Consider the following 23,279-nt stretch of genomic DNA (forward strand, 5'->3'; position numbering starts at 1 on the left):
ACCTGTTGTCCCAGTTACTCAGGAGGCTGAGGCAGGAGACTCGCTTGAACCCGGGAGGCAGAGGTTGCATTGAGCCCAGATGGCGCCACTGGACTCCAGCCTGGGCAACATAATGAGACTCCATCTCAAAAAAAAAAAAAATCTTCTAGTTACTTCAGTTATCCAGCACTAAATTAATTTCTTAGCTGATATTTTGAGTTCTGCAATCATAGTAATGGCAAATCTAGCTAGAGGTCCAAGATTTTAACATGGGTCAAGATTACAGGGTAGTAGATATAGATAGCTCTTTCGGAAAAGGGAAAAATGTCTCCTTTTAGCTTTAGAGAATGGCTTAAGCAGAACCCAGCTCTCTATCCTCACAGACACTATGATCTCAGGGTTTTACGTTTTTTGTTTTTTATTTTTAAATCATTACTTTCTCCAAAGTCTTGCCTTTTCTCTGGCTTGCAGTATACATTAAGAGCAATTAAAATCAATGCCCTGCTTTTTGCATGGTATTATTTATCATAAATTTGCTTCCTTTGATGTCTTGCCATAGAAAATACAAGATTTTCCTCTGTCACCATTGATGTATAAGATGATCAAATCATAGCTTAGCATTTTTTAACTAAGGATTGTTTGTTATTTTAGGCCATGCTCCCATTCTTTTTCATCCCGTTTTTTGATTTCGTATGAATGTGCAAGAAAATGGCCAAATGATAAAGGAATATTTGGACCATTGGCTGACAGACATGTTTCCTCTTTCTCCCTCTTTCAAGTATAAGAGATCCTGAGTCTTGCACGATAAAACCACAAACGGAACTAAATTATGCTGAGCAAAAATACATTCTTTTACTGAGAATTTCCCAGGAGTTTTGATATTTTTGACTCTTGCTCACTAAATATGGAAAAGATTGAGACACTATGAGAAACAGGGGAGCTGTTCTGCCATTTTTAGACCTTTAAGAAATTGTTTCATACCTTTAATGCTATGTTAACAATACATTGGAAATCTCCCTGCTGAAAAGTCACAGCCCTCTGAATGGTAACAGTTTCTGGAGATGTTCTCTAAGCTTCCATTTTAATATAAATAATAAAGCTCTGTGAGTTATAATTTATATTTTTGAGTGGTCTAAATGTTGTCCAACATATGGAAATGATAGAAATAGACATTTCACAGCATTTTTCTTCTTCAAGCAGTCAAAACTCCTTTAGACTTAATTTTCTCATTTGTTTCCTATCAAATCCAGGTTCACATGATTATCCAAATTCAGTGGCATGTCAATGGAACTCTGGTGGAAAGTGCTTGTGTACAAAGGCTGGGGAGGAAATTTTGTGCTTTCTTTTTCTTTTTCTTTTCTTTTCTTTCCTTTTTCTTTTCTTTTTTTTTTTTTTGAGACAGGGTGTCACTCTGTCGCCCATGCTGGAGTGCAGTGGTGTGATCTTGGCTCACTGCAATCTCGACCCCCCTGGGCTGAAGCAATCCTCCCATCTTAGCCTCCCAAGTAGCTGGGGCTACAGGAATGTGTGACTGCACCTGGCTACTTTTTTGTTATTATTTTTTTGTAGAGATGAGGTCTCACGATGTTGCCCAGGCTAGTCTCACATTCCCGAGCTCAAGCCATCTGCCCGCCTCGGCCTCACGACGTATGTACTTTCTTATTAATGTGTAGGACACTTTTAATGAAGAAATAGATATGATCAGGAACTTCGGTTAATGGGGTTTATTTTAGGGATATGATTGTAGAAGGCAAGAGAAGGTGGAACGATCTGAGCAGTTAGATGCCTCAGCTTCACTGAAAATGAGTGCATTCTTCAATGGTGGTTAGGACTCATTAAAGATTTTAGTTATTTGACGGCAGTTGCATCGATCCAAGAGCAACTTGGTTACCTGTGATACTCCTGACTGTTCCACATTTCACCCTGGTACCATTTAATGTGTTCTCTATTCTCTATCCCTTGTGGTACATTCAAATTTGTGCAAATTGTTACCTAGAGTTCCCCACCCCCGACCCAAGACTTCAGAGTTGCTGTTTGTTGTCTGTCCAGGTCTCTTCCCTTAGGGTTGTGAGCAGCCATTGAAATTTATTGCCTAGAGACATTGACTCAGTAGGGTTGCAAAATGATAGCATTCTAATTTTGTCATGCTTTATTTGCTGGAACACATCTGTAAAGAGAAACTTTCCCATGTAAACTATTTGGTTGCCTTGACATAGAGTCCCTTTGGAAAGTCAAAATAAGTGCTTGATTCTCTTCTGTTTATTACTTTCAAGATAATGAGTTGGATCCTTAGGAATTTCCAAAAGTAACCAATGACGGTGCTTTTTAAAAAATCACTATGAACGTATTGATAGAAACATACCTGTGTTTTTAATGTACTGAAGTTTTTATCTTTAATTGATGGCCACATTTGCCCATCTTAGACCAATATGTTGGTTCCCAAGTCCTTTGGTATGATCCTAGGATTCTGATAGCTTCCTTGCTTTCAGGTATGACAAGATGTTCTAGGTTCATTTTGTACATTTTTGGTTTTTAGACCTGGAAGCAATCATCTCTTTAAGTAGATTTTTTTTCTTAATAGTGGAAAATGATATTTAGAAAGCACAATTAGGGTGCCAGAGGAACTCATACACTGGGTTGGTTGTTGTGTGTTAAGTTTTTTAGGTGATAAAGCCAGGAAATTTTCATTTACATTTTAAAGATAAAATACATCATGCATTCAAAGTAAAATTTCTTGGCCAGGCACAGTGGCTCATGCCTGTAATCCCAGTACTTTGGGAGGCCAAGGCAGGTGGATCCCTCGAGCCCAGGAGTTTGAGACCAGCCTGGGCAACATGGCGAAACCCCGCTAGTATACCCCAGCCTGGGTGAAAGAGCAACCCTATTAAAAAAAAAAAAAAAAGGGTGGTGCCGGGCACAGTGACTCATGCCTATAAGCCCAGCACTTTGGGAGGCTGAGGTGGGCGGATCACCTGAGGTCAGGAGTTCGAGACCAGCCTGGCCAACATAGTGAAACGCCATCTCTACTAAAAATACACAAAATGAGCCGGGTGTGGTGGCACATGTCTGTAATCCCAGCTACTCGGGAGGCTGAGGCATGAGAATTGCTCGAACCTGGGAGGCAGAGGTTGCAGTGAGCTGAGATTGCGCCACTGCACTCCAGCCTGGGCGACAGAGTGAGACTCTGTCTCAAAAAAAAAAAGAAAAAAGAAAAAAGAAAAAAGAAAAAAGGCATTGAAGTAAAATTTATTTTATGGGGCGACGATTTGCTCTGTGCTCTTTTTCCAGTTTCTTGAATTAAATGCCAATCTTGTTTTTTCTTATCACCTACTGGCCCAATTTAAAACTATAAATTTCCCTCAAAGTTAGTACTTATTCAGCTGTGCTCCATACATCTTAATGTGTAGTTTTTTTCATTATCATTTAGTCCTAAGAATTTAACTTTCTCTGTTTTCCTTTTTGATCCAAGAGTTATTTTGTAATATATTATGTAGCTTCCCTAACATATGGTGGGTTTGGGGGAATTTTTTTTTTTTTTTTTTTCTGGACAGAGTCTCACTCTGTCGCCCAGGCTGGAGTGCAGTGTTGTGATCTTGGCTCACTGCAACCTCTGCCTCCAGGTTCAAGCGAGTCTCATGCTTCAGCGTCCTGAGTAGCTGAGACTACAGGTGTGCGCCACTACACCTGGCTAATTTTTGTATTTTTAGTAGAGACAGAGTTTTGGCATCTTGGCCAGGCTTGTCTTGAACTCCTGGCCTCAAGTGATCCACCCACTTCAGCCTCCCAATGTGTTGGGATTACAGGTGTGAGCCACTGTGCCTGGCCCTGGGGGGATTTTTTTGTTTTTGTTTTTTGTCTTTTTGAGCTATATTTTTTTTTTGTTAATGACTTTTGATTTTATTGCATTGAGGTTAAAGAACATAGCTGCTCTGCTATTATTCATTTAAGATTTATTGAAACTTGCTTTATGGCCTAACACAAGACGTATTTTTATAACAGATCTTGATTGCTCAATAATATGTACTCTGTGCTTATTGCACATATAGTCTTGAATATATTAAATATTTAATAGAAGGCCAGGTGTGAGGGCATGCACCTGTGATACCAGCTATTCAGGAGGCTGAGGTGGGAGGATCGCTTGAGTCTGAGAGGTTGAGGTTGCAGTGAGCCATGATTATTCCACTACACTCCAGCCTGGGCAACAGGGTAAGACTCTGTCTCAAAACAAACAAACAAAGAAATATATATACCCATATATATATTTAATAGAAAATGCTTATTAATTGCATTATTAGGGTTTTTAAAAACAAATTCTCCAAAGTAAAATTTCTAATTAAAATTTAGTTCTACAGAGTTTTATCAGACTTACATCTGTTTTTTTTTTTTTCTTTTGAGACAGGATCTTGCTCTGTTGCCCAGGCTGGAGTGCAATGGTGCAATCACAGCTCACTGCAGCCTCAACCTCCTAGGTTCAAATGATTCTCCCACCTCAGCTTCCTAAGTAGCTGGGACCACAGGCACATGCCATCACACCTGGCTAAATTTTGTAATTTTTGTAGAGAACAGATTTCATCATGTTGCCCAGGGTCAGTCTTATATCTTTATCTTCTCACATGTTGACAATTGTAATTGCTAGTGATACAATGTAACTAATTTTTTTTGTTTTCTTTTTATTTTTTTGAGACGGAGTTTTGCTCTTGTCACCCAGGCTGGAGTGAAATGGTGTGATCTTGGCTCACTGCAACCTCTGCTTCCTGGGTTCAAGCGATTCTCCTGCCTTAGCCTCCGAGTAGCTGGGATTACAGGCATCTGCCACCATGCCCACCAATTTTTGTATTTTTAGTAGAGACAGGGTTGGCCAGGCTGGTCTCAAACTTCTGACTTCAGGTGATCCACCTGCCTTGGCCTCCCAAAGTGATGGGGTTATAGGCGTAAGCCACTGGATTCTGCCCCAATGATACAATATAACTACTAAATTGCTTTATTCTACAATACAGACACAACAGTCCCAGAATAACAATATCAATACTATAGCCAACAATATAATTGCCAAATATAGCTTTTTTGTCCAGTCCTATATTTAAAGTAATAGGAAATAGTTTATCTCTGTGTGGTTATGCCATCAACTAGACATATAATTAGGTTTATTTGCTTTATTTTGCTACTTTTAGGTTTGTTGTTTAAAAAAAATTTTTTTAAATAAAATATAAAGGTGGATTTTGCTACTTTTAGGTTTGTTGTTTAAAAAAATTTTTTTAAAAATAAAATATAGAGGTGGAGTCTTGCTATGTTTCTCAGGTCGGCCTTGAACTCCTGGCCTCAAGCAGTCTTCCAACATCAGCCTCCCAAAGGGCTGGGTGGGATTATAGGCCTGAGCCACCACACTGGCCCGAAGTGTTTTCATAGTGTTGTTTTCCCTGTTTCTCTGCTCACTGTTCTGCTTTACCTTTTGGTTTTCCCCTAGGATGAATGGATTTATTTATTTATTTATTTATATCCAGTATGATTCATTCTTGCCAAAGGGTACCGAGAAATAAGTATTGACCATGCTGGGTAGCCATGCACTCTGGGGAACAGAGTGGAGCCAGCAGTGGTGGTTGAGGTAAGACAGAAGTAGCTGAAGTCAGGCTGTAATTATTTAATCTCTGCAACCTTCCAGAAGGAAGAATATCCCTGTGTAAGCCTGTGAGATCTGTTAAAAGTACATGAAATCAGCTCCGGAAATGGCAAACTATCAGCTACAGTTCTGTGTCGTGTGACCATGTAATGTGCAGATTCTCATCACACTAGAAGATCAAAACAAAAATTGAGCTCTGGGCAACATAGAGCAGGAGCCACAGTGTTTCAGGTTAATAGAAATATTCTTGCCTTCCAGGGAATGACATTTTGGGCTATCAGATGCAATTGGCAGCCCATGGCTATTTTCACTGAAACTTTTTGGAAAAGTTTTTTGTTGAATTTTTATTGGAGAATATGTATGACTTAAAATGTGCAAACATTTAAATAGTGGCAGATTTCACATTTTAAAAAGTCCAGATTTCTGGGGTCTCTTGAAAAATCGAGCTTGGTGACACTGGGGCCACTGTGCGGCCTGGTAACAGTCAGCTGCAGGTGCTGCCCCCTTCAGGTGGAGTGTGTGCTCTCCTGCTAAGCACAGTTTTCACCTGTTTCACATATTTATTTGTGCTACCTGCCTATCAGATTGATGAAGCCTAGTGTAGGGCACCAGATTTCTCTAGTATAGGGCATTTGTATTTCTTACCTCTAACAGCCTTTCCTTCTCCTAAACATTTCAGTCATGTGGTTCCTACTCTATTCAAATATAATCTCGGAGGACTTGCAAGTCCAGGCTGCTAGGGCCTCCCCATATTTCCTCAGGTCTTTGTGTTATTTGAGGGTTGGGGCTGGGTGTAGTGGCTCACACCTGTAATCCCAGCACTTTGTGAGGCCAAGGCAGGAGAATTGCTTGAGCCCAGGAATTTGAGACCAGCCTGCAACATAGTGAGCCCTTTTCTCTATTAAAAATAAAAAATTAGCTGGGCATGTTGGCATGTGCCTGTGGTCCCATCTACTTGGGAGGTTGAGGCAGGAAGGTTGCTTGAGCCCAGGAGGTCCAAGCTGCAGTGAGCCATAATTGTGCCACTGCATTCCAGCCTGGGTGACAGAGCGAGACTCTGTCTCAAAAAACAAATAATTTGGAAGTTTGGCAGTATAATTCAACTAAAATTATGGTCAGAAGTTCTTCAAAACCCTGCTGCCTTGGTGGCAGGAATATGGCCTTAGTGTTCTTGGACCTCTGTGGCCATGAAAGATGGCTGAATAGGAATGGCAGAGTGTACCACATAGCCAAAATTAATTTTTATGATTCCGAATGCAGACCACACCCTGTTATTTATAACATCCACAGAAATGATTCCCCAAGAACTAAGTCTAATTAAGAATTCCTGCTCATTAGCTAGTGAGAAAATAGATTGGGATGAGTCCCAGACCCCCATCCATGCCTGCAGTCAGAGGCAGGCACAGGAGAGAGAGGACAGCTCTGGTGGTCTCTGTCAGGATGAGGAGAAAGAGCCCCAACAGCAGGTACAAATAGGTCATTCAATCAAAAAGACTCATTTTTGCAGGGGAAACTCTTAGAAGACTTCTTGTTCAATGGTGTGGGCAGAGGAAGGTTCGGAAGAATCGGTAAGGAGTGAAAGGCCCAGATACGATAGATAATTGTTGGAGTAAGTAGAATATATGCAGCCACAGCTGGAATTTTCCATAAAGTGGGCACATGCATGATGCGAACCAAGGGTTGGGAAGGATGACTCAAGGGATACCCACCACTGCCAAAGGTTTTTGAAATTCACTTCCCATCTGTGCTTCCCAGCCTTCCTGATAGCCCATCTTGAGAGAGTCGTTTCTTTGTAATCAGGCACTATCCCTAAGCATATTTCTTTTTACATAAATATTTTGGGAGCAGGTTTTAAAAAGCTTTTTAGAAGACATTTAGTCTGTGCCAGGTTCTTTCTTATGCATGAATTCATGCCCAAGGTCACATACCCAGTAAGTGGTCACCAGGATTGGAGCTCCTCTTACCCCATGTTCATTATTCTATAGCAGTAGCTTTCAAGTTATGGTCCTGGGACAACCGCAGGGGTGTGTGTGTGTGTGTATGTGTATGTGTCCCAGAGACCCTTTCAGTGTCTGTGAAGTCAAAACTATTTTTGAGTAACACTAAGATGAGATTTGCTTTTTTTTTTTTTTTTTTTTTTTTTTGAGACAAAGTCTCGCTCTGTTGCCTGTTGTCCTGGCTGGAGTGCCGTGGTGTAATATGGACTCATTTGACCTTCTAGGCTTAAGCAATCCTTCTACCTCAGGCTTGCAAGTAGCTGGAACTACAGGTGCATTCCACCATGTCCAGCTGATTTTTTTTTTTTGGTGGAGACAGGGGTTTCACTGTGTTGTCCAGGCTGGTCTCAAACTCCTGGACTCAAGCAATTCTCCTGCTTTGGCCTCCCAAAGTGCTGGGATTACAAGTGTGAGCCACCATGCCCAGCCTGGTATTTGCCTTTTAAAACACTCATTCTCTCATGAATGTATAGGGGAGATTTCCAGAGACTACATGACATGTGATATCACAACAGAGCAAATCCAGAAGCAGATTATGAGACTCCAGCTGTCTTCTATTAAGACAGATGCTAAAGAGGTTTGCAAACATTTAAAACAATGCTATTCTTCTCACTAATTTTTGGTCTGTTTGATTTGGAGTTCTTTGGGGTTCTCAATAACTTTGTTTTTTGTTTGTTTGTTTGTTTGTTTTGAGACAGAGTCTTGCTCTGTTGCCCAGGCTGGAGTGCAGTAGTGCAATCTCTGCTCACTGCAACCTCCGCCTCCCGAGTTCAAGCAATTCTCCTGCCTCGGCCTCCTGAGCAGCTGGGATTACAGGCGCCCACCACCATGCCTGGCTAATTTTTGTGTTTTTAGTAGAGATGGGGTTTCACCATGTTGGCTAGGCTGGTCTCGAACTCTTGACCTCAAGTAATCCACCCCTCGGCCTCCCAAAGTGCTGGGATTACGGGCGTGAGCCACTGCGCCTGGCAGGTTCTCAATAACTTTGAAGTGTATAAAGCATCCTGAGACCAGAATGTTTGAGAAGCACAGCTCTGCAGCCCAGTTAACTGTGCTGCCTATCTATCTTCATCAGAGTGCTGGCTTAGTTCATTTTTCTCTGAGACAGCTGGTGAAGAGAGGCTCTGAGACTGGGAGAGGGGTGGGGAGAAAGGTGGTCTCTACCCATAGAGAATGCAAACTTCAAAGATGAAAAGGTAAAATGAAGATCCTTCTCCTTGAAGGAGAGGGCACCCAGAGGGGAGTCCACGAGGCACTAGGAACAAGATTTTTCTCCTTGCCCAGGATTAGTAATTGTATATTACAGTGTAGCGTCAGGAACCAAGACATGATTTAGAAGACTCGCTTTAGCAAAACCACTTATCAATGATGTTACCTGGGCAAATAGCTCACACTTGCTGAGCTTGACTTGGTTTTCTTTGGCTGAGAAAGAAAAAGATTAGACTAAATCAGGATTTCCAACTCAATATTGTGATAAATAATAGATAATACATATAGCAGTAAAGATAAAATAGTAGGTAGGGTAGAAAATTTTATAAATATTTAATAAAAAATTAAGAGAGATTTAGCATTGTCTCCTGTTACAACGCCACTGTACTCACATGAGTTTGATGTGCTTTCTTTCTTTTTTTTCTTTTTTTTGAGACAAGTTCTCACTCTGTCACCCAGGCTGGAGTACCGTCGTGTGATCATGGCTCCTTGCAGCCTTGACCTCCCGGGCTCAAGTGATCCTCCCACCTCAGCCTCCTGTGTAGCTGAGACCACAGGTGCATGCCACCATGCCTGGCTAATTTTTATATTTTTTGTAGAAACAGAGTTTTGCCAGGTTGCCCAGGCTGCTTTCAGATTTCTGGGCTCAACCTATCTGCCCACTTTGGCCTCCCAAAATACTAGGATTATGGGTGTGAGCCACCTTGCCCGGCCAGATGTGCTTTCTTGAGTGGGACTACAGCTAGCACAAAATGGCTTAGCCTAGGGACAGTTAATCATTGTGGCAGATAAGAGAGATATTGGAAGTCGATGACTTGGTAAGGGTTTTTTTTTTCCCCCAGCTCAAAATCTCTAGAGGTCTAAAGCAGTGTTCGGTTCCTAGCCTGTTGACACATAACCTCAAAGAACGGAGAGACCTACTTAGAAGAAGGGTCAAGAATTATCAGACTTTCTAGCTGTGTAGACCTGAAATTATTCTCAACTCTGCCACTTGATACGGTGTGTCCTTGAGCAAGATATATAGTCTCTCTGGAAAAAGAGATATATCTAATAATGCCCACCTCACAGGGCTGTTGTAGCTGTTTGAGGAGAAAACGTGTCAAACTGGCTGACTTGTAGTCAGCCCTCAATAAGCATTGGCTGCCTTCTCTTTTCTCAAAGTGGGCAAGTAGAGAACTGAAAGACATGGAAAAGGTTAGTTTTTCGGGGGGTGCCTCTTAATGAATGGGAGGACTGCCTCTGAGGGGTGAGGTTTGAGTACTTAGATGCTCTGTAGCAGGGAAAGCAATTTGGTAATTCTGTAACCTGAAGCCGAGTAGGTCTGGAGAAGCCAATTTGGTGGCCTGTTCCTTCCTGGAGGCCACAGGAAACATGTCCTCACTCATATCTGCTCCCCTGGGTCCCATTTCCTGGGAGACATGATGGATGAGCCACAGCCAGCAAAGACTTTGTCCCCCATTTATCATCTTCTGGATTGCTTAGTGGATCCATTTGCTTTCCAACAGGTGAGTCGGATGAGATGGATTACTTGTTGTCAAAACAGTAAGTAATGGAAAGTTGTGGTCATTCTTTTGAGATGTAGAGTGGGAAACATTTAAGCATTTCAACTTAGCTTAACAGCAAGCTCAGGAAATAGACATTTATGGTTCCAAATCTTCCCTTTCCTACCTGTTTTACTTATTGATTTTAAAATTACCACCCAAAGTGCCTTATTCAGGTTGATTTTTTATTGTTTTCTTGGCACAGAAGTATTTGGAGAAGGTAAACACTGACTAAAATTAAACATGGCAGTACTTTGTACAAATAAATATGGTAAACAGAGATGTGAGAAAATGCCACTGGGATTCATTGGTTAGTCTGATTAAATGAGCTCCAGTTGAAGTGCTTCTCTTTGGCAGCCCAGAGTTCAAAGAATGACAAAATCCCACACTCAGGCTTTGCATCCGTTGTGAGAGGCAGAGGAGTGGGAAAAGCCTAGGCTTTGGAGTTCAAGAGACCTGGGTTTGAATTTGAGTTTCCCTCCTTACTACGTGTGTGACCCTGGAAATACCTTTTAACTATGCTGAGCCTTCATTACCTCATCTAGTTGGAGATAACAAAACCTACTTTGTAGAGCTGTTTTGAAGATTAGACACAAAGAATATAAAGTGTCTTGCAATTACAGATACATGATAAATGGTAGCTCAGAAGTTGATAATTATGTCTGTAGTCTGTGTAGATAAATTCAGTATGCCTAGTTTAGCCAGAGCTATTTACGCTGTAGAGCTGTTTCAAACTCCTACTTTATATACCTTATGATTTTGAGTTCTGTCCTCTAGCCTGGCCGAAATTTACTAGGCTTTTGGAAAAGTTAACAAGTTAATGGACTGGCTTAACATATATAGTCACAAGCTGCATAAGTGTCCCTATGAAGAAAGTATATCAATAGTTGTAAAAGCATTTGAACATATGTACATTGTATAAGCATAAGATTAATTACAGGTAGCTTATGATGGAGACTGTACAGGAAGGCCCACCAGAGATTAAATCTGTGCAGTTTTTCTCTATGTACAGGTGCCAGAAATGACTTTGGATCATTGAAGGTAGAAGTGTGGGGGTATAGATACTGTAGAATCACTTGGGGAGATACTCTTAGAAGGGCACATTGTCTTTTTTTTTTTCTTTGAGACAGGGTCTTGCTCTGTTGTCCAGGTTGGAGTACAGTGGTCAATAATGGCTCACTGCAGCCTTAACCTTCTGGGTTCAAGTGATCCTCCCACTTCAGCCTCCTGAATAACTGTGGTTACAGGTGTGCGCCACTATGCCTGGCTAATTTTTTTATTTTTAGTATGGAGAAGGTGTTGCTATGTTGCCCAGGCTGGTGTCAACTCCTGGCCTCAAGCAATCCTCATGCCTCAGCTTCCCAAAGTGCTGAGATTACAGGCATATGCAATCGCACCTGGGACATTGCCTTTCAGTCACTGAGCATGGCTTCCCTTAGAAGGCTGCATGGGCCACTGCTGTTGAGACAGGTGATCGTTTCTCTAATCTCCAATAGCAATTTCCAGCTTCCACTCTGAGTTTTTCTGGTTTGATTGGGAATATATTTCTTAAATTTTTAATTTTAATTTAATTTAATTTTATATTTTATTTTATTTTATTTAGATGGAGTTTTACTCTTGTCGTCCAGGCTGGAGTACAATGGTGTGATCTCGGCTCACTGCAACATCTGCCTCCTGGGTTCAAGTGATTCTCATGCCTCAGCCTCCTGAGTAGCTGGGACTACAGTCATGTGCCACCATGCCTGGCTAATTTTTTTTATTTTTAGTAGATACGGGGTTTCTCCATGTTGGCCAGGCTGGTCTCAAACTCCTGACCTCAAGTGATCCACCTGCTTTGGCCTCTCAAGGTACTGGGATTACAGGCATGAGCCACTGCACCCAGCCTGTTTATTTATTATTTTAGAAATGAGGTCTCACTATGTTGCCCAGGCTGGTCTCAAACTCCTGGTGATCCTCCTGCTTTGGCCTCCTAAAATGCTGGGATTACAGATGTGAACCACTGTGACTGGCTGTTTTTTTTTTTTTAAAGGGACACAAAAGAGTTCAATCATAAAAGGACAGTTGAGAATGCAGAGAAGATCCAAATGGCCAAAAACAAGAGAAAAGATGCTAATTAGTGATCAGAAAAAAGCCTTAAGACACAATGAAATACCATTTTATACTGTCTACAAGTCTAAGGTTAAATAGTCTGACCATATCAACTGACAATATGGAAAGAAGCAAAATGTCACACACAGTGGGAAGGAACGTAATTTGATAAACTATTCTGGAAAATTTTGCTTAATCTAATGAAGTTGAAGACACACTTATCCTAGTACTCAGAAATTCCAGTCATAAGGACAGACCCAACAGAATCTTCATTATTTTTAATAGCCTCTAACTGGAAACAATCCCAATGTCCAGTGAACTGTGGTATAATTACACACTGATACTACATTTCCATGTTAATGATCATGCTATAGTTAGTCTAAACAACATCGATGAGATTCATACACATAATATTATTCCAATTACATAAAGAGAACTCAATTAAACTTTAGGTTTTCAAATATGTATATATAAGCAGTAAAGTCCTGAAGAAAGAAAGGAGGTGGTTACCATAAACACAGTAGTCTGCTGGAGTTGAGACTGTGCTGTATCAGGAGAGTTGACTGTAGCATCTCAACCCAAATCTCTGTTGGTAGCTTGGAATCAGCCACAGTTGGAATAGTTACATCAAGGAAATCAGCAAGCATTATAGTCTGAGAGGTTTTTTTTTTTTTGTTTGTTTGTTTGTTTTTTTTTTTTTTTTTTTTTTTTTTTGAGAAAGGGTTGTTAAACACTTACCAGCACCCCATTGCATAAAAGTCATGACAATGATTACCTTTATTTATTTATTTTTTTGAGACAGGGTCTCGCTCTGTCACCCAGGCTGCTGTGCAGTGGTGTGCTCTTGGCTCACTGGAGCCTTAACTCCCTAGGATAAAGCCATCCTCCCACCTCGCTCTTCTGAGTAGTTGGGACTACAGGCTTGTGCCACTGTGTCCTGTTAATGTTTTTATATTTGTATAGAGACAAGGTCTCCCTGTGTTGACCAGGCTGGTCTCAAATTCCTGGGTTCAAGTGATCGTCCCACCTCAGCCTCCCAAATTGCTAGGATTACAGGCATGAGCGACTGTGCCTGGTAATGGTTACCTTTAAAGGAGATAATAGTTATTGGGGACAGGTATAATTGGGTCTTCTCAGATGTTGGAACTCATTGGGCTTATTAGCCAGACCTTTATTTACATAGATTTTCCCATATGTGTTACATGTCACAATAATCAGTTTTTTAATATAAGTGCAATAAGGCAAGAAAAATAAACTGAAAAAAGAAGGGTGAGTGTGGACAGGGAGTATCATCAGTCTCACTCTATTTAGTTATAAAGGAAAACCTGCCTGCTCCTTAGTGTGGGTCTTTGGGAAAAGAACAAAGTCAGTTTCCTCATGGAATCCATGAGGTGGAAGTTGCTGGAACTTATTGTGAAATTAGCCCTCCTAGGGAGGCTGATGTGCTGAGTCTGCATATGTGAACCTGAGAATTGAACTGGGAGCATAGGGGAGGGGCACTCAGAGCTCCACTTATCACTGATAGGCTGGAATTGGCCTCTTTTTTGGAATACAGCAGCTTGTTCAAGGATTTGGATCCAAGTGGCACCATCTCAAAGTGGACCAGAACCATTAGGGTTGTGCAGGGACTGTCTTCAACAGTGACACTGAGTGACAAGAAGAAGCAATGGCAGTAGTGGACTGCTCAGACCTCATGCTAACCTCATTTGAATGTGAAAGTAGAACTGACATTTTTGGATTAATTCCAGAAGGGAAGGGGGTACATTTTGCAATCCCCAATGTATTCATTCAAGGATTGTATCAATGGACACTAAAACCATTAGGTGTAAAATTCTTCATACTGAAACCATTCGTTGTAAAATTCTTGGGGGAATGATATATTCATGTGACTTAAGTGTCACACCACAGTTTACTTATGAATTGTAAAGGTAAAATATATCTTTACATTGGAGAGATCTGGTGGTCTCTACCTTAACCACTACTAATGGCATTGTGGAGCTTCTACTGTAATACAAAAGTACATAAGATACTTGTGAAGGGTTTGTGCCAAATATTTTTTTTTTCTTTTGAGACGGAGTGTCGTTCTGTCATCCAGGCTGGAGTGCAGTGGCGCGATCTTGGCTCACTGCAACCTCTGCCTCCCGGGTTCAAGCAATTCTCCTGCCTCAGCCTCCTGAGTAGCTGGGCTTACAGGCGCATGCCACCATGCCCAGCTAATTTTTGTATTTTTAGTAGAGACAGGGTTTCACCATGTTGGCCAGGCTGGTCTCGAACTCCTGACCTCAGGTGCTCCACCTGCCTCAGCCTCCCAAAGTGCCAGGATTACAGGTGTGAGCCACTGTGCCTGGCCTGTGCCAAATATATTTAACCTGAGTCTGAAAAAGGCTTTAGGCCAAACTTCTAGTTTATAGAAGGTAGAAGGGACAGAGGAGCCTAAATAAGACAAGAGAAAATAATCACACAAATTCAGAATGTGAGACATTCAACAAGATGTTTGGCCTGGACTCTTTAAAAAGTCAGTGTCATGAAAAGCAAAGTGTGTGCTTGGAGGTTGCTCCAGACTAAAAGGTTAAAGAGCTATGTCAGCCAGAGGGTGATGATTTGGAAAATAAAAAATAATCACAAAAGTACATTTGGAAACAATTGCAGAAATTTGAGTATGAAACAGATATTAGATGACATTAAGGATCATTTAAAATTTTCTTATGGTATTGTGGTTATGGAGGAGAATATTATTATTCTTAGGAGATGAATTTTAAAGTATATAGAAGTAAAATGTTTCTTTCTTTTTTTTTCTTTTTTATTTTTTTTGAGACAGAGTTTCGCTCTTGTCTCCCAGGCTGGAGTGCTGTGGCGCGATCTTGGCTCACCACAACCTCTGCCTCCCAGGTTGAAGCAATTCTCCCTCCTCAACCTCCAAAGTAGCTGGGATTACAGGCATGTGCCACCATGCCTGACTAATTATTATATTTTTAGTAGAGATGGGGTTTTACCATGTTGGCCAGGCTGGTCTCGAACTCCTGATGTCGAGTGATCCGCTTGCCTCGTCCTCCCAAATTGCTGGGATTACAGGTGTGAGCCATTGGGCCTGGCCATGAAATGTTTCAATTATTGCAGTTTACTCTCATATAGTTTTAGAAACATATATACATACAGAGAAAGCAAATAGGGCAAAATGTCAATAATTGTTGAATATAGATGGAGGGTATACAGATATTCATTTTTCTATTACTTCACTGTTTCTGTATATTTGAAAATTTCATAATTAAGAGTTAGAGGAAAAAAGAGGGAGCAGAGAGACTCAAGGGGAGACAGTGGACTTCCAACTCACAAGATGTGAGGGTTCAAAGGATTCACTGGAAAAACGAAGAGATGAGACAATAGTGGTAGTGTGTGTTTGTGAAACAGCAGCTCGTGGTTCAAAAAATAGCAGACGAAGCTTGTTCATGTATAAAATCCAGTGTGAGTGAGAGTTACGTGTCAATCCCATAAAGTCATAATGAGAAAGGCCACTTGCGAAAATAGGGGTGGCTTCCTTGTCAACAGACAGCCCTTTAGGGGTTAGAGGCAGGGACTTTGATCTCAAGAGAAACTGAGATCACTGACAAGACTCAGTTCATCTTCATGTGAAGGCAGAGCTTACCATTGGAGGTTTGGTTTACAGGAGACTTGGAAGGTGCACAGACTGTTCATATTGCCTTCGTCGGGAATAGTTTGATGTGCTTAATTCAGGATCTTACTGTCTCTACCTCAGTGCATTTGTTCAACAGCTGTGGAGGAGGATGGGCGAGGGCTTGCTGCTCACAATACCATGGCTCAGCTGTCAGCCTGATTTCTTCTAGAGACAGATGTTCCAAAAATGATCGTGTATTTTCTGTTTTGGCAGCCTGCATGCAGTCTCAGGGCTTTAGAGATGGAGGCGCAATCATTTCTTAACCTGGGGTACGTAGATTCTTCCCTTGGTGACTGTGGATGAGTTTAGGGATTGCATGAACCCTTTTAAACAGTCTTTCAAATCTCAGCTTTCTTTTTCTCTCTTAGAAAGGATTTCTAGTTTTCAGCAGATTCTGATAAATAGTTGTAACCTGAGAAATTTAGAAGCCACGGATCTGATTCAACCTCTAAGCCCCATTTAAAAGATAGAGAAACTGAGAGGAAAAAACTGATTAGGAAAAAAAAAATCAGTTATTAAAATTTTTGGAATGTCTGTGTACTTTGTAGAATTGACCTGATTTTCTGCCACTGCAGACTGAGCTAATGGCCCAGTAAAATGGGTTGAATGAAACAGAGCCACTAGGGAGCTTTTGCTGTCAGCATAGAAACCCCAAATAGCAGAGACAAGTCTGGTTGAAATCCCTAAGAAAGGAAGCAAATTTAGGAACAGCCCCTGCAGTATCTAGAAGCCAGCAACATGGGGGAGACCAGTTAGGTTCTTTTGCCTGGATTACATAGGGACAAGCTTTGCAAAAAAAAAAAAAAAAAAAGTATATATATATATATATATATATATATATATATATATATAGAGAGAGAGAGAGAGAGAGAGAGAGAGAGAGAGAGAGAGAGATCTATGGAAACAAATTCTACCCCTCCACCTACATCATTCTTCTCCACATAGCCCTTCCACCCCTGTTTCAATAAACAACAACGAAACAAAACAAAACGAGAAGTGGATCCCTTGGCAGAACTGACACAAAAAAGATCAGTTTTTTTTTTTCTGAAATAGAGAAAGCACTTTATTTGATGAAGCATTGCTAGGCTTACCAAATAAGATAAGACAGAACGGATTCTTTAAATTATACATTGAGAATGATAGGGGTGGGTGTGGGGGTGGAGAATAAATATAACCAAGAATAATGCCATGTAAATAATTTTTGAGAGGCTTCAAGCATCTTGGGTGCCCAATGGAAGGGACTGGTGAGTCCGGAGGCCACCTCTGCTCCCAGTTGTGGTATCTCTGGGTCATGTGGGATGCCACACTTTTCCTCCAATCTTCCTGTCACCTTCTCTTGCTTGATTCAGGGGCCTCCAGTGGAGCACCCTATTAGGAGCATCTTCCCATGACAAAGTTAGCTTTGATGCCAAGTTCTAAATATTTCTTAGGGGACATCTGTTGGATATATATATATATATATCTGTTCCTGCTAGATTGGGAACTCACTGAGGGCGTATTCAGACATACCACATGGGGGAAAAATACCTTGGTGGGCAAAGCATTTGGGGCCATGGTCCCCAAAACACTTTTCAGCCCAGATTTAATTTTGAGTAAAAGGTCCCATGTATCTTCTGCCTCAGCCTTCTGTCTACTTGCCACTGTTTGGGCAAAGAACCATTATTCATTTGTTCATTCATTCAATTCGTCACTCATTTGTTTTATAATTCATGTATTCACTCATCCATTCAGCAAATGTTTATGAGATTGCAATTGCAATATACAATTGCACACTCACCAGACTATTTCTGTGACCTACATTTGAGACTAGAGACTTCAGAGTCATCTTTAACTTTTCTCTTTCCATTGGTTGTATCTACTCTCACCCCATTGTGTCTGCCTAACTGATCCTTCCTGCTATATTTAACCCATTCTATGGCCCTTTTACTCCATTAGCAAGTCTTGTCTCTTTCCCATTTTCGCTTTGAGGGGAAAAAGCACAAACCATTTTTCCTCTGCTCTCACACCACAACAGTCAACACAGAAGACATCTGTGACCAGATGTGTGGAAGTTTTCCCCCCTACACCAGGCAAGCAATCAGTTCTGCAGTGGCCACCAGCTGGGTGTCCTCTAATTCAATTCAATTCTGACACTGTCTACCTGGAGATAGTGTCAGATCCCACAGGTTGAGGGCCCAGTCTCCAAGACTGCCCCCACACTCTGTTCCTGATGCCAACCACAAGCTCCAGGTTGTTTTCCCTGTGCTTCTGACTGACTGGCTACAAATCTGGGTGCCCACAATTCCCTCCCTGGGTTTGATTGATTTGCTAGAGTGGCTCACAGAACTCAGGGAAACACTTTACTTACATTTACTGCTTTATTATATTACAAAGGATACCAATGAAGAGATGCATAGGGTGTGGGGCGAGAGGGGTGTGGAGCTTCTTTGCCCTCCTTGGGCATGTCACCCTCCAGGAACCTCCAGGTGTTCTGCTATCCAGAAGCTCTCCAAACCCTGTCCTTTTGGGTTTTTATGGAAGCTTTATTAAGTAGGCTTGATTGACTAAATCATTGGCCATTGGTGATCAACTTACCTTCAGTCCCTCTCTCTTCCCTAGAGGTGGGGGAGGCTGGAGCTGAAAGTCCCAACCCTCTAATCATACCTTGTTTTTTCCAGTGACTAGCCCCCATTCTGCAAATACTTAGGGGCTGCCAACCATCAGTCAGCTCACTAGAATATGAAAAGGTGTCACTTTGGAGATTCTAAGGATTTTAGAAGTTGTATGCTAGGCAATGGGGTCAAATAACAAATATTTCACAGTATTACAGGCTTCCTCTATCATTTCCACTTTCAGGTCATCTTTAGCTTTTACCTAGTTCAAATTTTCCTTAGCTCATATCTAGAGCATTCCACTTCCAATATGTTGGCATATGCTCCAGTCACAATAAATCTCTCACCTGTCTTCCAGCGCTCTGTTGTGTTTTCATGCCATTGTGATTCTTGTTGGTCATGCTATACTACTTTTCCTGAAATCTCTTCCCTGCTCCCTCTTTTCTGCTTCTTGAAATTCCACTCATTCTTCAAGGCCAACATATTTGAGCTCAAATATCACCTCTTCTGAGAAGCCCCTCCAAGCTTTCTTTCAACCCTTCTTTCCAGTTATTGCAAATTTGAATGTACATTAAAAGTACACTCTGTAATCTAGAGGACTCTGTTTATATAATCTGTTAATGGTGCTTTGAAAAGTTTGATTCGTATGGTAACATATGTGTTTCTACCAGATTGGGAATTTGTTGAGGGCAGGAACTGTCTATTCATTTATTTCTTCATTCATGCTATTTGCAGGCACTAAGCTAGGGACCAGGGCTCTCACTGTCTGGCTGGGAGATAAACAGGTGAACTTACCAGTATTGCGTAGAAGGACAATTGCTGTGATAGAGGACAAATGCAACGCTTGATGTGTTGTTGTATTAGTCTGTTCTTGCATTGCTCTAAATAACTACCTGAGACTGGATAATTTATAAAGAAAAGAAGTTTAATTTGCTCTCGATTCTGCAGGCTATACAGGAAGCATGGCTGGGGAGGCCCCAGGAAACTTACAATCACGGCAGAAGGCTGAGGGGAAGCAGTCACGTCTTACATGGCTGGAGAAGGAGGAAGACAGAGAAGGGGGAGGTGCTATACACTTTTTGTTTTTTTGAGATGAAGTCCCACTCTGTCACCCAGGCTGGAGTGCAGTGGTGTGATCTCAGCTCACTGCAGCCTCCACCTCCCAGCTTCAAGCGATTCTCCTGCCTCAGCCTCCCTAGTAGCTGAGACTACAGGCATGCACCACCACGCCCTGCTAATTTTTGTATTTTTAGTAGAGATGGGGTTTCACCACGTTGGCCAGGCTGGTCTCGAACTCCTGACTTCAAGTGATCCACTCACCTTGGCCTCCCAAACTGCTGGAATTACAGGCATGAGCTACCATGCCTGGCCAGTGCCACATACTTTTAAACAACCAGATCTCATGAGAACTCACTGACTTTCAAGAAAGCAGGAAAGGGAAATTCTGCCACCATGATCCAATCACCTCCCACCAGGCCCTTCCTCCAACATTGGTGATTACAATTTGACATGAGATTTGGTCAGGGACACAAATCCAAACCATATCATTGGTCAGGAAAGGAAAGTTCATTGTGGTAGGCTGGAGAATGCTTCATAGAGGCAGAGTTGTGAAGGCAATGTATCCTTTAGTTGTGACTTGAAGGATATACTGTCTTATTTTATTAAATCTAAGCACATTGTTTTTTACATCCTGAATCCAGGATATAATTTTTGATCAATGTATACATTTAATGTGGCAATATTTCTGTCTTCCCAAATCTGGTATTATTTTGGTGGTGTTTCTTATAGTCGCTGACATCTTAGTATTAAAAAGATATAGTAGACTTAGAGTCTGTGGTTGCACAAAATTAGACACCAACGTGATTTTTTAAAAACGTGAAGGTGGGGAAGGGGTTCATTACTTCCCTATTGCTGCTATAATAAAACACCAGAAACAGTGAATTAAAATAACACATATTTATTCTCTTACAATTCTGAAAGTCGGAAATCCAAAATGAGTTTGAAGGAACTAAAATCAAGATATCTGTGGTTCCAGTTACTTTTGGAGACTCTAGGAGAGGAATGCATTCCTTGTCTTTTCCAGCTTCTGGAGGGCTCCTGTATTCCTTGGCTTGTGGCCACATCCTCCATCTTTACATTGTATTACTTCAATCTCTGCTTCTCTTGTCACATAGTCTACTTTCTGAATCTGATTCCTCCTGCCTCACTTTTACAAGTCTCTTGTGATTACACTGGACCCATCTGGAGAATCCAGGATCATCTACCCATCTCCAGATTCTTAATCACATTGGCACAATCCCTTTTGCCATATAAGGTAACATTCACAGATTTTTGAGGATTAGGACATGGACATCTTTGGGGGCCATTATTCAGCCTACTAAAGAGAAAATTTATTTTAAAGATACTGATATGGCTTTAGACATCAAAGGTGAGATGATAGCCATGTTCCAGGAAGAGCCTAGAAACTTCGTTTTATGTATCTGCCCCGTCTCTGTGTCTTTATTAATTTCTGTATTTTTTGGCAGACTGACTTCTTCTGCAAGTCAGCCAGTATGTAGAAACATGATTGCTGACAATTCCTGAGACTATAAGTTATGGTTTCAATACCCGGAATTGCTCAGCTCTCTCAACTCTATTCCAGATCCTCAAAGAAAAAACTCTGATTGGTGTTCTTGGGTCAATGCCTCCTTCTCTAAGGGTGTAGCCAAAGGTATAGAGCTCTTCCATATTGCACAAAATGACTGCCAGCAAGGAGGCATTTCAAGTCATGCTCATACACTGAAAAATAGTCCTCTATGAAATATGACTAATTGTTCACCAGGAAATTGAGTAAGAGGCTGACATTTCACACAGAAGGTACTAGCACTTAGTCAAGTGTTTTTCAAATTGTGGATATCCAAGAAATATTTCCTGAATTGAGTTGTGAAATTTCTCCAAAGTGTCTTTTAATCTATAAGGTTTTATCACCTGGAGCCTGGAATCCTGCAATTAGTCTCACTGTACCTACCCTCTCCCTTGCCATGCCATAATGTTACAGCCCACATTTTGGACCAGAATTTTTCAGTCGCTTTCTTTTCATCACAGAATAACGTTCAAACCATTGATGTATAAAATGATGGGGCTGGGTGCGGTGGCTCAGGTCTGTAATCCAGCACTTTGGGAGGCCGAGGCGGGCAGATCACTTGAGGTCAGGAGTTCAAGACTAGCCTGGCCAACATGGTGAAATCTCAACTCTACTAAAAATACAAAAATTAGCCAGGCCTTGTGGTGTGTGCCTGTAGTCTCAGCTACTAGGGAGGCTGAGGCAGGAGAATTGCTTGAACCTGGGAGGCAGAGGTTGCAGTGAGCCGAGATTATGCCACTGCACTCCAGCCTGGGCAAAAAAGTGAGACCCTGTCTCAAAATAATAAAATAAAACAAAATAAAATAATGAACCCCATTTTTTCCCATCTGGGACATGGGAATATTAATGGCAATCTCATAAATGTGTTGAGATTAAATGAATATAAGGGATTGCCATACTTTCCGGCAAATCTCCAATGTGAATCCTCCGCTCTGGTTAGGTTGGTTTCCAACTGGAGCCCAGGCATTTGTCTCAATTATTCTTTCTTTTCTTTTTTTTTTTGACGTGGAGTTTTGCTCTTGTTGCCCAGGCAGGAGTGTGATGGTGCGATCTTGGCTCACCGTAACCTCCACCTCCTGGGTTCAAGCAATTCTCCTGCATCAGCCTCCCGAGTAGCTGGGATTATAGGCATGCACCACCATGCCTGGCTAATTTTGTACTTTTAGTAGAGACTAAAATACTCTCTACTGGTCAGGCTGGTCTCGAACTCCCGACCTCAGGTGATCCACCTGCCTTGGCCTTCCAAAGTGCTGGGATTACAGGTGTGAGCCACCGCGCCTGGCCTGCCTCAATTATTCTTGCGGCTACACCTTTGTTTTTGCCTGGGACTCCAGGCTTGGAAATGCCAGACTCTACCTCCTGGCTTCTTTAGTCTTGCCCGATTCCTTCAGGTCCTTCTAGGCTACAAATGTTCATTCTTTCCTTTTATTCTAAGAAGATTTTGAGTCTGTTCTACACAGAGTCTCAGAGCAGATTTTTTAGTCCAATTTCCAACCCAAATGTGGGAAACCATCCATACGCTGCCTTTCTGGTGGCTATTTTGCTTCTACTTGAATAGTTTTAGTGTTGATGAGCTAAACTTAGGCTGCTTGTCCCCATTTTTTCAACAGCTCTAATTAAATAACTAAAACATGTAATTATCTTTTTAGTCATGACTGTCTTGCTTTTTTAATAAAATTTTCAGTTCTTCTAGAGGAACAAAGTAGCTGCTCAAAAGGCATTGATTATATTTATGCCTAAAATTATAATTTCCCAACATTAATAGTTAAACCATTGCTACCATTTTTATTTTCTTTTATTCCAGCTTTACCATACCTTGGAGAAGATGACCTGCCATTATAAGGCTTATGATTATTGTCACAATACCTACAACAGGTTTCTGAGGAGAAAGAAAGCAAAGAAAATCCTCCTGGTTCATGTCTAGTGATACTTGCATTAATTTTACTTAGGTCACTTTAGGT

The 23,279-nt window shown here is 41.4% G+C and overlaps 1 long non-coding RNA gene across 3 annotated transcripts in view, besides 1 other annotated feature; it reads left to right on the forward strand.

The window, feature by feature from the left end:
• The window catches only part of KLF9-DT (KLF9 divergent transcript), a 136,304-nt gene that overhangs the window by 90,069 nt on the left and 22,956 nt on the right, over positions 1-23,279 (forward strand). Inside the window, exon 4 of one of the 3 annotated variants that reach the window (XR_001746709.3) lies at positions 10,308-11,491. The exons of the other annotated variants lie outside the window; for them this stretch is intronic. This is a non-coding gene — a long non-coding RNA (KLF9 divergent transcript). Of the gene's footprint in view, positions 1-10,307; positions 11,492-23,279 lie in introns of those variants that run through there. 3 annotated transcript variants of the gene reach the window in all.
• Positions 10,181-10,381: a silencer, noted in NCBI's record as "peak7263 fragment used in MPRA reporter construct". NCBI's record gives its function as "represses an SCP1 promoter by STARR-seq MPRAs in K562 erythroleukemia cells {active_cell/tissue: K562}" and the evidence as "EXISTENCE:reporter gene assay evidence [ECO:0000049][PMID:32103011]".

The sequence above is a fragment of the Homo sapiens genome, chromosome 9 (assembly GCF_000001405.40).
Source record: "Homo sapiens chromosome 9, GRCh38.p14 Primary Assembly".
Classification (NCBI taxonomy): domain Eukaryota; kingdom Metazoa; phylum Chordata; class Mammalia; order Primates; family Hominidae; genus Homo; species Homo sapiens.